The 13,921-nt window shown below is 37.8% G+C and overlaps 1 protein-coding gene and 1 long non-coding RNA gene across 16 annotated transcripts in view, besides 1 other annotated feature; both read right to left on the reverse strand.

Annotated features, from left to right (window-relative positions):
- The window catches only part of FGF14 (fibroblast growth factor 14), a 691,640-nt gene that overhangs the window by 618,573 nt on the left and 59,146 nt on the right, over positions 1 to 13,921 (reverse strand). The window lies entirely within an intron of this gene.
- FGF14-IT1 (FGF14 intronic transcript 1) overlaps positions 1 to 13,921 on the reverse strand; it is a 102,200-nt gene that overhangs the window by 37,057 nt on the left and 51,222 nt on the right. The window lies entirely within an intron of this gene.
- Positions 4,148 to 4,731: an enhancer, noted in NCBI's record as "OCT4-NANOG hESC enhancer chr13:102985874-102986457 (GRCh37/hg19 assembly coordinates)". NCBI's record gives its function as "activates a minimal SCP1, AML or CMV promoter by ChIP-STARR-seq in primed H9 embryonic stem cells {active_cell/tissue: H9 hESC(primed)}" and the evidence as "EXISTENCE:reporter gene assay evidence [ECO:0000049][PMID:30033119]".

Consider the following 13,921-nt stretch of genomic DNA (forward strand, 5'->3'; position numbering starts at 1 on the left):
GATCTCTCTCCATTCCCCCTCCCGAAAGACCTATAGCTCTTCTGCACTGCCTGTGAGCAGGACTCAATGTGAGCAGACCTTTGTCATTCCCTTAAAACCCATCAACCACTTGCTCTGTATTGCAACCACCTGCTGACCACTCCCTTCCCTGTTGGAGTTCTTCAACTTTTAGTTCATCATCAATCTACCCAAGAGTATTCAAAATAATCCTTGGTGATTTCCCTTTCCAGTTCATGGTGGCCTTTCAGTTCCTTGCATCTTTCCTCCAACCTTGTGCTCTGTTCAACTTCAGCTGCTCAGACCTGTGGATGTATCCAAGAAGACTGAATCTCCTGAATGACCTCATTACTAAGCACCCCTGCTCAGATCAACACCTCCTGTTTTCCACCTTACTCCTTTAATCTTAACCCTACCATGTTGTACAATCCATTCATCTCCTCACCCTTTCCATGGCCCTTACGCACCCCCACCTTATGCCCTCACTTCTCAGCTTATATTTCATAATTATTAGCTCTTTATTACACTCTTCTGGCAAAACTCTGATCACATTTAAACCTAAATTTTCACCAACTAATCTGTGAATCCTGAACCTGACTTGAGCATCATGTTCACTTCCCCAAAGTTAAACCCGCAATCGTGCCAGTTATTCTCACTCTGATCACACAACCGCTAACCCCAAGTGGACCCTTAATGCTGACAGGCAGGGAGCCAGCAGAGACGTGTTTCTGTCACTCTAACCCTCTTCTAGAGGACAATTCAGTATTGTTCTCCACTCCAAATTTCAGCAGAGCCTCCCTGTCTGCACTCAGCTCAAGATCTGATTTTGCCTTCACAATGAGAAAATAGAAGTAAACAGAAGAGAATGCCCTCAACTCCCACAAGTTCATCTCTTCACCTACCAGCATCTGTGCTCCTATCCGCTGCCTTCCTTCCTATTATTGTGAACCAATTTTCTCTGTTCTTATCTATGATCAAGTCCTACACTTTTGTACTGGATCCCATCCCATCTCACCTATTCAAGAACATTGCTATAGCAATTCTCAACTCTCTCTCCTGCATCATCTATTTTTCTTTTACCAATTAATCATACTATAATATCTCAAGTCTTACAAAATTAAAAAAATCCCATACTCTCTTGACACAGGAATAATTTTGGGACACCTAACTCCAAAACACTGCCTATATTCTTGCTCCTTCCAGTTCTTCCTCCAGTTTCTCTTTAGCTATCTACAATAAAGTTTCAATCCCGCCCCACTCCCATTTCAAGTATACCTCTGTTCATGCCTTTGCTGCAAGGTGACTTTCTTGGCAAGGCCTTCCTGACCACCCTACTCAAAACTGCAAGCTCCACACCCCTGATCATCACTCCCTCCTCCCTTCATGGCCTCATTGTCCTCTAAAGCTTCCGTTACCATGTGACGTTCCATGCATGTATTTATTTCTTCACTATCTGTCTCCCCTCTACAAGTAGGAAAGTGCCATGAAATCAGGATTCTTTGTCTACTTTATTTTCTGCAATTTTTCTGGCATCTAAAATAGCAATATGCCAATAAATATGTGTTAAATAAATTAATGAATGGATGTGAGAGAATTATAGCATAGTGCTTAATTAACACCAGAGCTTTGGAATCAGACCGTCCTCCATTTGAACAGCAACTTTGGTGCTTGGACGTGTCATTGAACCTCACTGCAATTCAGTTTTCTTCACTGTAAAATGTGGATAATAAAGTATGTCATAAAATTATTAAAGTAAATAAAATGTTATATATAAAGCAGTCAGAAAATTCCTTGGGACACAGAAAACAACCAACAAATGAATGGCCACTTTTACATTGTCCCAGATCAAAAGGTACAAAGCCGTTTTAATGATTAAATTCTGAACTGCTCCATTTTCTCATATTTTAATATCCCAAGGCCCCTAAAGACATAGTTTCAGCTTATGCAATTTAACATGGATATTGGTATAATCCCAATAGCTTGGACCCATATTGGAAATGCTGTTCTACTCCATCACATGTGTGCATCATCAGCTTGCATGTATTGGTTAAACATTTGACTTCATTATTGTACATTCACACTGTAGTTCACAATGCTCCTAATGTGTGGGTGCACATACCACCCAGAAAAGCACAGAAAACCACCCACAATGATGTGAAGAGACCTAAAGCAAAATGTCAACATCTGATTAAAATAACTTCACTCTTCCTTTGAACAATGCATCTCCAAGGGGATTGATTTATAGCATTATTTCTCATGCCATCTTTAAGAACAAGGTGAAATAAAATAACTGAAACACAGTATAATGAACACAAGCTACATGAAACGCACAATGAAGGATTTTAGGGTTCAAATGCATTTTTCATACATAATTGGTGGACAAGAGAATCATAAAAGTTTCGAATTGGTAGTATAGCATCCTTACAATATAAATGAGAAAAGTGAGGCGATCCACTGAGTTTATGTGAAGAGAATGGGCATTAAGAAAATCCTTCCCCATGGAAGGGAAAAACTTCCACAGAGTAAATTCCCCATAGCAGAGACAGACAGGCAGCTTAATGGAATAGAAAGGGCACAGAAATAGCAATCAGCGCAGCACCCAACACAATAAATATTTGTGCAAGAACTGAATTAAGGGTATGATGACCTGAATTCTGGTTGTGGCTCTGCCCAAATTCTCCTTGAATAAGTAACTTTACTTCTTGGTGTCCTTTTTCTCCTCTTTGTACTAAACGGCAGAGTCAGTAGGGTTAAGAGCATGTTAAGTGACTGATTGTAATTTGTAGAGATAGGAAAAGATGGGAAACTTTTTAAAGTTTTTTTAAAGACTCCCAGAGCTGTGGTAGGACAGTGGATCCTAAAGATCACATTCTATTTCAATAAATAGAAAAATTAAAACATTTGAAAAAAGAGTAAGTATGAAAAAGAGTTGACTGTCCATTTCCCCAAAGAAAATGCATAAATGATGCAGTAGAAGTAAAACACTCATTATTCTGAGATGCCATTGTATGTTAATATTTTAAAAATATATCTTAAATCTAAAATCACATTTTTAATCATCAGAGATTTTATTAACTCTGTGTGTGTATGAAACATTAATGAGAATCCAAAAATGCAAGAGTGAGGATCCCTTCTGCCATGTTTGTAAAACTAGGAAAATTCCATTTTCCCAGAATTTAAGGCTGCAACCCATGATTTCTCCAGAAAGAGCTTTACCAACATTTTTTTTTATAAATTCAACTTCTGTGCATCATGTCCTCAAATACATCATCCACAGATGATGACTAACTCACAGCAGACCTGTCTCCTCTCAAGTGCTGGTTGAAATGTTACCATCCTTCTTGACAGGTCTAAGTATGTCAGTTATTAATAATAATTTTTACTTATAAGTTTCTTAACACTTATAAAAGAAGACCCCCCAAAAGCTTTGCAAGTTAGACAGCTCTAGTTTGCATATATATTTTAAGCATCAGTGAAAAGACATGATAAGTGATACTTCTCAATAAATAGCTCAGTTACAAACAAATCAGAACTAAGACCAGAAGTCCCATTTTTTATTCCTTGATGTGACTGTCCCATAATTCTTCTAGCTAACTAATGAGAATTAACTTAAAGGAGATCACAACATAGAACTCTTATGAAGATATTTCTATATGCGGTATTTCTAGAAACATTACAAATTCTATGTGTTAAGCTATGTAAAATTTGGGAACTAGATTATCATACTGCACTAAGTAAATCTTGGGATATCCAACATGCCACCCACGGGCCATATGAAACTTCCAAAATTGAAAAGCCTCTTGATTATATATATGTAATTCATGCCAAAAAGTAAAACTTCCCTTCTACCTTAACCCAACGTGGCTCTCACATATGCGAAGTGTTCATTGTTTGAAAACACATCAAATGTCCATGATTTATAACTAGAAAATCAGTGTGTGTCTGTGAGAATATGAGTCATAGATCTGCAAGCAAGGTAGGAAGGTCTTTATTCCAAATAAAAGAAAGCTGGCCCATAAAACAGTCTAGCCCAGGGTCAACTTGTTATTTGAAGATCAAGCAAGATTTAAAGCTTATGTCATTGGTTCTAAACTGAGTCCCCTGCTATACCGTTTCCTATGGACTCACTGAAGAGTCAAAACCATGGATGTTACGCAAGAAGAGGCCCCTGGGCTTTCGGTAAAGTAGGAACACAAAGGCAATGTCAGAGATATTCAGCATGGTTCTTGTTTATGATTTCTTGTGTTCTGATGATGGAACATGTAAACAGCTGTCAACCAATTACCAAAAATACTGAACTCATTCAGAAAGGACGTAAAGTGTCTAGGAGTGAATAAACAATGCTCACTCCAAACCAGCTGCTGCCACTTAGGGCCAACATTTGATCCAGGACAAAGAAAAAAGAGGTATTTGGTCATTTGTTATGGTAATCACCAGCGTGTAAAGGGCTCTTCCCATCAGAGAAATCACCCAACAGCCACCACAGGATGTTTCTTATTTTGACGACTGAAGGGTGCATGCTGGGTCTGGAGGAGGGAGCCATTGATTTATTTTCACCACTTTTCCCTGGCTGACAGCAATCTAAAAGAGAAGGAACAAGCCAGATCACTCATCTGCCTGCTTGGCATGCCTGGTAGTCATGGGAGCCCATATAGAGGCCATCTGTTCAGGTCCCAGTCTCTCCAAACATGCACAGAAAGATGACGTCAAAAGGGGTGTGCTTCAGCCCCATTAATGAGCCACCCAAAGTAAACCGGAAGACTCAGCCTGAGTAGCCCACCCATTTATCTCCTCTGTTAGCAGCCAAGTTCAATCAAGTCATGGATTGGGGCAGGCACAATTATTTTTAAGTTTATTTCCCTAGGCAAATGTTAAGTTGATTTGAACATCTGTGGTTTAGTCCTATCTGATAGACATATAGGTGGGTAGATTCCGTGAGTCAAGAAAAATGCACGTTGCTTACAACCTACTAAATGAAACCCACCTCAGAAGACATGATGTTCAGCATTAGCCTGATGGTTTGGTAGTGCACCTTCAAACTCAGCTTTCAAATGCCCCTAAATTACTGCAGCCAGAAAAATTCTCTGCAGCAAGCCATGCAGATGATGGCCACTCTTCAGAAACAGCAGTGTCATGTAGCTCTACTCAGTGAAATAAAACAAATGAGATGTTCTCTTTTGCCTCAAGATGATCCTCCCATTGCACCAAGATTTATGATCTATTACAAAGAAATGCCAATCACTACAGATTAGTTGGGATAAAAAAAGTGTTCGTATAAGGCTTCTGTGATCAGAATTCTAACTTCATGTTATATGCACAGTATTTATGAACTCAAATAGAAATAATTTGGCTTTCTAAGATGTTTTGAATTTTTGCTTTTTGTACCCTAAAACGTGTCTTGCATTTTTAGTTATCCTTGAGATGATCATGTGAAGGATGTCCTAGATTTTTCAAAATAACCCATTATGATAACAAGAGAACTTCTGGGATCTAGGACCATTTCAGCAGTTATGTTGGTAGAGGCACCCCTCCATCCTCAAGAAAGGACCTGTTTTCAATCCACAGTAAGACCCCAAGTGACCAAGCAGACCGTCACTGACTAGAAGCCACATCTTAGAGTCATTGTCACATCTTCTGCTTTTTTCCCGTCTATACCCTCTTCCATCAAACCCTACTTTCCTATAATTGCATATCCATATTCCTTCAGGGCCCTCCCTGTGTCTCTGTACGATGAAGGTAGCTCATGGTGACTTGTTAATACATCACATCTCAGTTTATATCTCTGCATTCCAAGCTAGACTCCCTGTTTTACTTGGCCCAATCTCTGAAGCTACTGGAAAGAGAGACAACAACATCTTCACCAATGCACAAACATGCCACACTAGCCTTCATTTCATTATTCTTTGATCATTTCAATACTATTATTTTGTTTGGTCTTTCCTGCTGAAACCCCTGTTAGATTTTGGACCTCATGGATTTTCTAAATTATCTCTAATTGCTATCTATGCATCTACATCTATGCACTGGCCTATTCCATAAATAACCATAAGGGTTCTCAATAAGAGTAGTCTTTTGTTAAGATTAAGTAATTTTAGCAGACACAACCCAAACCCCATTCCACCAAGAAATAAAATATAGTGAAAACACTTCACAGAAAAGAGGAAAGAAAAGCCCGAATGCCTATGAAAGAAAGAGACCAAGAAGGTGCACTCCATTTTACCCTGAAGAACCCACAAAAAGCCTAGGAGTTGGAAGTACCAGATACAATGCAAGGGAGGAGTACAGGCATGACTCATTTGACTGTGCCTCTCTTTAATGCGCTTCACGGATGCTGTGCTTTGTTACAAATTGAAGGTTTGTGGACTCTGTGTTGCACCAGTCTATCAGTGCCATTTTTCCAAGACACCCTGTGTCTCTGTGTCACATTCCAGTAATTCTTGCAATATTTCAAACTTTTCATTATTGTTATATCTGTTATAGTAATTTGTAGCCAGTGATCTTTGATGTTACTATTGTAATTGTTTTGGGGTGCCCCAAACTGTGCCCATGTAAGACCGTGAACTTCATTGATAAATGTGATAGGTTCTGACTGCTCCAGCAATTGGCTGTTCCCCCATCTCTTTCCCTCTCCCCAGCCCTCTCTATTCCCTGAAACACAAGAATATTGAGATGAGGCCAATTAAGAACCCTACATGGCCTCTAAGTGTTCAAGTAAAAAGAAGAGCTGCATGTCTCTCGCTTTAAATAAAAAGCTAGAAATGATTAAGCTTAGTGAGGAAGGTAGGTTGAAAGCCAAGATGGCTGAAGCTAGTCCTCTTGCACCAGTTTGCCAAGTGTAAATGTGAAGGAAAAGTTCTTAAAGGAAATTAAAAGTGCTACTCCAGCGAACACATGAATGATAAGAAAGTGAGACCGCCTTATTGCTGGTATGGAGAAAGTTTTAGTGGTCTGGAGAGAAGATCAAACCAGTCACAACATTCCCGTAAGCCAAAGCCTAATCCAGGGCAAGGTCCTAACTCTCTTCAGTTCTATTAAGTCTGAGAGAGGTGAAGAAGCCACAGAATTAAAAATGGAAGCTAAAAGAGGTTGATTCATAAGGTTTAGGGAAAAAAAAGCCATCTCTCTAGCATCCAAGTGCAACGTGAAACAGCAAGTGCTGATGCAGAAGCTGTAGCAAGTTATCCAGGAGATCTAGCTAAGATCATTGATGAACGTGTCTACACTAAACAACAGATTTTTAATGTATATGAAACAGCCAGCTATTGGAAGGAAATGCCATCTAGGACTTTCATAGTGAGAGAAGATAAGTCAATGCCTGGCTTCAAAGCTTCAAACTCAGCCAAGAGGGGCTGACTCTGTTGTTAGGGACTAATGCAGCTGGCGATATGAAGTTGAAGCCAATACTAATTCATCATTCTGAAAATCCTAGAGCCCTCAAGAATTATGTACCTGTCCTCTATAAATAGAACAATAAAGCCTGAATGACAGCAAAACTGTTTATAGCACAGTTTACTGAATATTTTAAACTCCCTGTTAAGACCTACTGTTCAGAACAAAAGCTTCCTTTCAAAATACTACTGCTCATTGACAATGCACCTAGTCACTCAAAAGCCTTGATGGAGATTGTACAGGAGATTAATGTTGTTTTCATGCCTGTTAACACAACATGCATTCTGCAGCCCATCAGTCAGGGAATCATTTCAAATTTGAAGTCTTATCCTTTAAGACCTACATTTTGTAAAGCTATTGCCACCATAGATAGTAATTCCTCTGATGGGCCTGTGTAAAATACATTAAAAACATCTGGAAAGGATCCACTGTTCCAGATGTCATTAAGAATATGCCTGATTCATGGGAGGAAGTCAAGATGTCCACATTAACTGCAATTTGGAAGAAGTTGGTTCCAATCCTTATGGATGACTTTGAGGGGTTCAGAACTTCAGTGAAGGAAGTAACTACTGATTGGGTTGAAAAAGCAAGAGAATTAGAATTAGAAGTGGAGCCTGAAAATGTGACTGAATTGTTACAATCTCATGATAAAACTTGAACAAATGAGAAAGCATTTCTTATGGATGAGCAAAGAAAGTGTTTTTTTGAGATGGAATCTACTCCTGATGGAAGATGCTGTGAGTGTTGTTGAAACAACAATACAGAATGTAGCATATCCCATAAACTTACTTGATAAAGCAGAAGAAGGGTTTGAGAGAATTGAGTCAAATTCTGAAAGTTCTATGGTGGGTAAAATACTATCAAACAGCATCATGTGCTACAGAGAAATTTCTAGTGAAAGGAAGAGTCCATTGATGAAGCAAACTTTATTGTTGTCTTATTTTAAGAAATTGCCACAGCCACCCCAAACTTGAGCAACGACCACCCTGACCAGTCAGCAGCCATCAACATAAAGGCGAGACTCTCCACCAGCAAAAAGATTACGGCTCATGGTAGGCTCAGATGATTGTCGGCATTTTTTTTAACTAATAAAGTATTTTTAAATTAATATGTGTACATTGCTTTTTTAGACAAAATGCTTTTGCGCATTTGACTGAATACAGTATAGTGTATATATAACTCTTATGTGCACTGGAAAACCAAAAAATTCACATGACTCACTTTATTTCTACATTTAATTTACTGTGCTCGTCTGCAATATCTCCAAGGTATGCCTGTACATTCAAGGGAAAGGGTTGAAAAACATGGTAATATTTTGTCTGGTTTTTTTTTTCTTGTTGTTTTTTCAAAATCAGATGACATATGCATACAAGGGAATATTTTGAAAGTCTCCATAAGGAACATTTAATTTCTTGCATCCCTACTTCCAACACAATCTATTACATGATTACCCATTGTTCCTTCCCTCAGGAATGTTGAGAAATATTAGGTGGAGAAATTGAGTCTGAGATTCTTAGGAACATTGGAGGGTGACAGTGAGAAACACTGACATCCATGCCCCCCCTTCTGCCCAGCTTAGGATGTAAACAGTTAAGTTTCTGCTTCCTTAAAAGGAGACTGGAGAATCCTGCTCTGGAGAGAGTGGGGGAAAATGTGGACATACTGACTGACATTTGGGGACCCCCAACCAAAAATGATCTGGCTGGTTATAGAAAAGCTGATCAATGAACTAATGTAACTTTCTCACAAAGCTTCCCATCCATGTTTAATGAACATAAGTAGAAAAACAAAGATTACCACGTTTGAGAAAGCCTCCAATTTAAAATAGAGAATAAAATAGGAAACAAAAGTGAGAAACAAAACTGAAAAATTCAAATAATCTATCATTGATATCATCAAAGATGTGATGTTGTGCCCATGAATTAAAAACAAGATATCATAAAAAGGAATAACAAAAAAATAAGAAAAGGGCCAGGTGCCATGGCTTATGCCTGTAATCCCAACACTTTGGGAGGCTGAGGCGGGTGGATTACTTGAGACTAGGAGCTCGAGACCAGCCTAGCCAACATGGTGAAACCCCGTCTTTAAAATACAAAAAATTAGCCAGGCATGGTGGTGCGCACCTGTAATCCCAGATACTCGGGAGTCTGAGGCAGCAGAATCCCTTGAACCCGGGAGGTGGAGGCTGCAGTCAGCCAAATTGTGCTACTGCTCTCCAGCCTGGGCAACAGAGTAAGACTCTGTCTCAAAAAAAAAAAAAAAAGAAAGAAAAGAAAAGTTCCCTGAAAATAAAAATATAAATATGTAATTTTTTAATCCAATAAGGGGATTAGAAGATTAAAAACAAGGAATTCTTGAGGGTGTGAACACCCCGTTTTCCATGATGTGCAAATTTCACACCGCATGCCTGTATCAGAACATCTCACGTACCCCATAAATATATATACCTACTATTTAAACACAAAAATTGAAAATAAAAAAATGTAAAAATTAAAAAAGATAGATTCAAGGAAATTTGTTCCAAAAAAGAATAAAAAGACAAAGGACTCATAAACAAACAAACATAAAGAAATTATTTAGAAAAGCCATGAGTTCCAAAATCTTACAGGAGTTTCAGTAGAAAAGACCAAACAAAAGAATTTGTATGGAAATGATCAAAGACATAATTTTAAAAACAAAATTTTATAACTGAAAGATGTAAATCTCTAAAATTGAAAATGTCTAACAAAATCAGTAAAAATCTACATCATATGCTTAAAAATTCCAAGGGGTGAGGTGAGAGCAAAGGTCCCATACAAAGGATTTTTTTAAGTGGCATCATAGTTCTCAACATTATTGAAAGTTAGAATCGAATGCAGTGATATCCTCAAAATTCCAAGGAAAAACAATTTTCATTCTATAAGTCTGCACCTAGCAAAATTATCAATCCAAAAGGAGGATAGAAAAAGACATTTTTAGACATGTAATATCACATATTATTTTCCTTTATCAAGAAGTCATCATGGTGAGAGATAATAGGAAATCCAAGAGATAGAAGGTCCCACATAAAAAGGGTTAAAGAAGTTTGAACAATGATAGCATGGGCTACGTAAACTCACAGTAAAAAAGAATAAAAAAGGACCACACCATCTAAAGTGAGTTAAGCACTCACCACAATTCATTTTCCATTTTCCATTTTTACTAGCTTGCTAGGAGGCAACTGGAGGCAAAATTGAGGTTAACGACACACGGAATAAGAAAGGAGCCTACTAGTGTTTGGATAAGAGATTAACAGAATTTCAAAGGCACTTGGACTTGTTTAGTTTATTTTTGAAAAGAAAGAAAAAAAACACAGTAATTAGTATCTTCAGATTCCTACTAGACTAATGGAAACGCAACCAAATTCAGCTCATTTACAATTCTGTCTAGTAGTGCCCAGCCCTGAATTTCTTTCCAGTTGCAATGTTTTCAGATTCAAATTGCCCATCCCCACATCTTTTGCCATTTTGGCGAATCCCTTAGAGGGGAGCCATGTAGTTTAGAATCAGAAGCAATTGCGTTTCACATCAAAAAATATTTTTATTTCAGAGAAACTAAGACAGAAAAGCATAGCCATAATAATCTTGCTTCTCTTTTGAGTTACATCTAGGATTGCTAGCTATTCTTTGCCCGCACATCCTTGCCACAGTACAAACACATACACACACACACACACACACACGCCAAAAAAAGAGTGTTCATCAGTTCCAGAAGGTTCACAAAATATACAAGCCTTTTACCCTAAAACCTTGTGATACATCCCAAAATATCTTTTACCATCAGAGATTAGCTCATCAGTCCTTTTGTCTAACTATCATATTTCCTGATTCTGAAACAATAGCTCACAACTAGAATGACCTTTAAATATGAAAAGAAATAGAGAAAGTGTCCAACAAACAAAACTTAAAATCTATATGTGGATCAAGAAGGCAGTCATAAAATGCAAAGGGCTTCTTATTACAGTAGCTAAAGGCAAGGTAATCAGTTAAATTACCATGATGAATGTACTTTCGTGGGCTTTCAGAGTTTGTAATAAAATGGCAATCAGATTTACCCAAGAAAGCAAGAATATCCCATGCATGTGTAATAGTTTACTCAATCAAGAAGGATTTGCTAATCAGCTACTATCTGCTCATCACTGAATTTGATGCTGAGATTTTTATTAAGTAAAATATGTGCTATTACACTTGTTGCCGGTGTAATTATGGTAAGAAAACTAAATATGTGTTAAATAGAAATGGAGTAAGGTAGAATAACCAATGAGAAGCTTCAAGGAGGAGGTGCCACTTTCACTGTACCTTCAGGGCAAAATTAACAAAAGTAAAAGGGGGGAAAAAAGACTCCCCTAGCCTGGGAAAAAACCCAACTTTTGTTTCTGACAATTTTATAACAAAAAAAAGAAGTAGGATGGGATTTAATCCAGAATAAAAGTGAATAGCTTTACAGAGTAGAGAAAATGCTTTTATATGAGACTAGAGAAGAGTAAGAGGACAATTATTTATGCAAATAAAAAAGAAAGAAAAATCATTCCATTATGAGGAGACAAATTTGTTTTGGGTTCCTGCTTCATTCCAAATAACAGAAAGTACATATACAATATCCATCATCCATTCATCTACCCATTCATTCATTCAGCAGACACTTCATAGTGCAGATTGTGTGTTGAAGACAATAGCAGGCTTTGAAGAATACAAAAAACATATAGTTCCTTCCCTGAAAGTGCTGCTGATGTATAATTAAAGGCTGTTCTTTTCCCCTTCCCCAACCTACCTACCATCCCTATTGTGAGCTCAAAGCAGGAAGGCTGACAAAGCTGTTATTTGAAATATTTGTATGATTGAGAAGGCGACCACCTTTCAAGGTTTCCAAGACACGGCATTTTTCAAGAACTGTTTATGTCCTTCTTCCTATGAATAAGACAGAAAGCTGACATACAGCTATGGTATTACTCTTCTTTTTACTTGAAATTGCAAAATGATTAAAGCCATCAAGCAACAATAGTTGACCTACTGAGGGAAAATACCAGATAGGTGCCCTGGAGAGATTGATGAGTGAATATATTTAGAAAGGATTCCCAAGACTATTTGCATTTGTCTCTGAGACTGCTTTCTCTCCTTTGCCTCTGTGGTTAGCTTCTCCATAGCTCCATGTTGTCATCCAAACTGAACCTACTTGATATGGAGCCTCCTAAGCTACAGGGAAACAAGCCCACTCATCAACACAAGTAATAACAGACTGGGAATCTTCACTCACGCAATCAAAGTTTCTGTTGATTTCAGTAGAAAATCAGTGTTTTCTGATACTTTTAAGGCAACACCTACAAGTTTAAAGCCATTTAGATAAAGCCATAAGTTACGAGGGAGTTATGTGTCTCAATCTCTCCATTCATTGAGGACTTATCGTTCCTGGGGCACTTTTCTGCAGGGGAACAATGAAGAGCAATGGAAAGTAAGCGGTGGCATAACTCCCAGCTCCAAGCCTGATGTCTCCTGAATAGTCCCTACATTAACGTGCTACTGGAATGATTCTCAAATACAAAAGGGGAGGAAGGCATTTTGGAAATGCTTTGCATGGACTCAGGGCTTCATTTTTAATTTGCCATGAAATCCTACATAAGTTACTTAAGATTCTGGGCCTCAGCTTTCTAAACTTTAAAAAAAAATATGAAAGAAAAATGGACAAAATTAACATTCTCTGATTCAACCTACATTCCAGTGATGGTGTCTACTTTGGTAATTACTTTTAAGCCTGCAGCAATGGCAATGACTAATTCTATTACTACATATAATACTGAACATACTAATATATGACTTTATATTATTTCAGTAACTCAGAAATAACAATAATCCAGTAATCAAGATCAGTGATAGCTCAAGGAACAAAATAACAGAACCAATCTTAATAGTCACAGGAAGCCAAACAGGAGTCTAGCTAAAAAATGTTGATGTCATTTTCCTCTATATGCTTCCTACAAAATTCTAAACCCATCTCAGAACACCAGTGGAGGGCAAAATGGGTCAATAGGCACATTTCCATAGATAAAATGTGGGGTGGGTGGGGCTCAAAATTGAGAATTTTAGCAACAATGCTGTTTTTCTTAGCCTAAAGTATTTTCTTCTGTAGGAATATAAGTATTTGAGTAAGAACTGAAATTAGAAACCCAAGCAACTAGTCTCCAATGTTTTCAACTACAACATTAATACAAAATCAGTAAGAGTAAGATGAAGACTATTTTGGAATTGCAGGCAAAACTTCCACGAAGGATACAGTTTTTGAGAGTAGGCACAGTCAATAGTTTTGACTCTGAGGTATCAGTGAATCTATTTATAAATCAACTCAACTAATTGTCATGCAGGGCCTATCCACGCAGAGATAATAAGAGCTTAGAGTCAAAGAGGGAAGGGTAATGACCACGCAGAGATAATAAGAGCTTAGGGTCTAAGAGAGAAGGGTAATTGAATACAAAAATTGTTAAGAGTGGCTTGAAAGAACTGTGATGTAAAGGCAGATTATTGGT

The sequence above is a fragment of the Homo sapiens genome, chromosome 13 (genome assembly GCF_000001405.40).
Source record: "Homo sapiens chromosome 13, GRCh38.p14 Primary Assembly".
Taxonomy (NCBI): domain Eukaryota; kingdom Metazoa; phylum Chordata; class Mammalia; order Primates; family Hominidae; genus Homo; species Homo sapiens.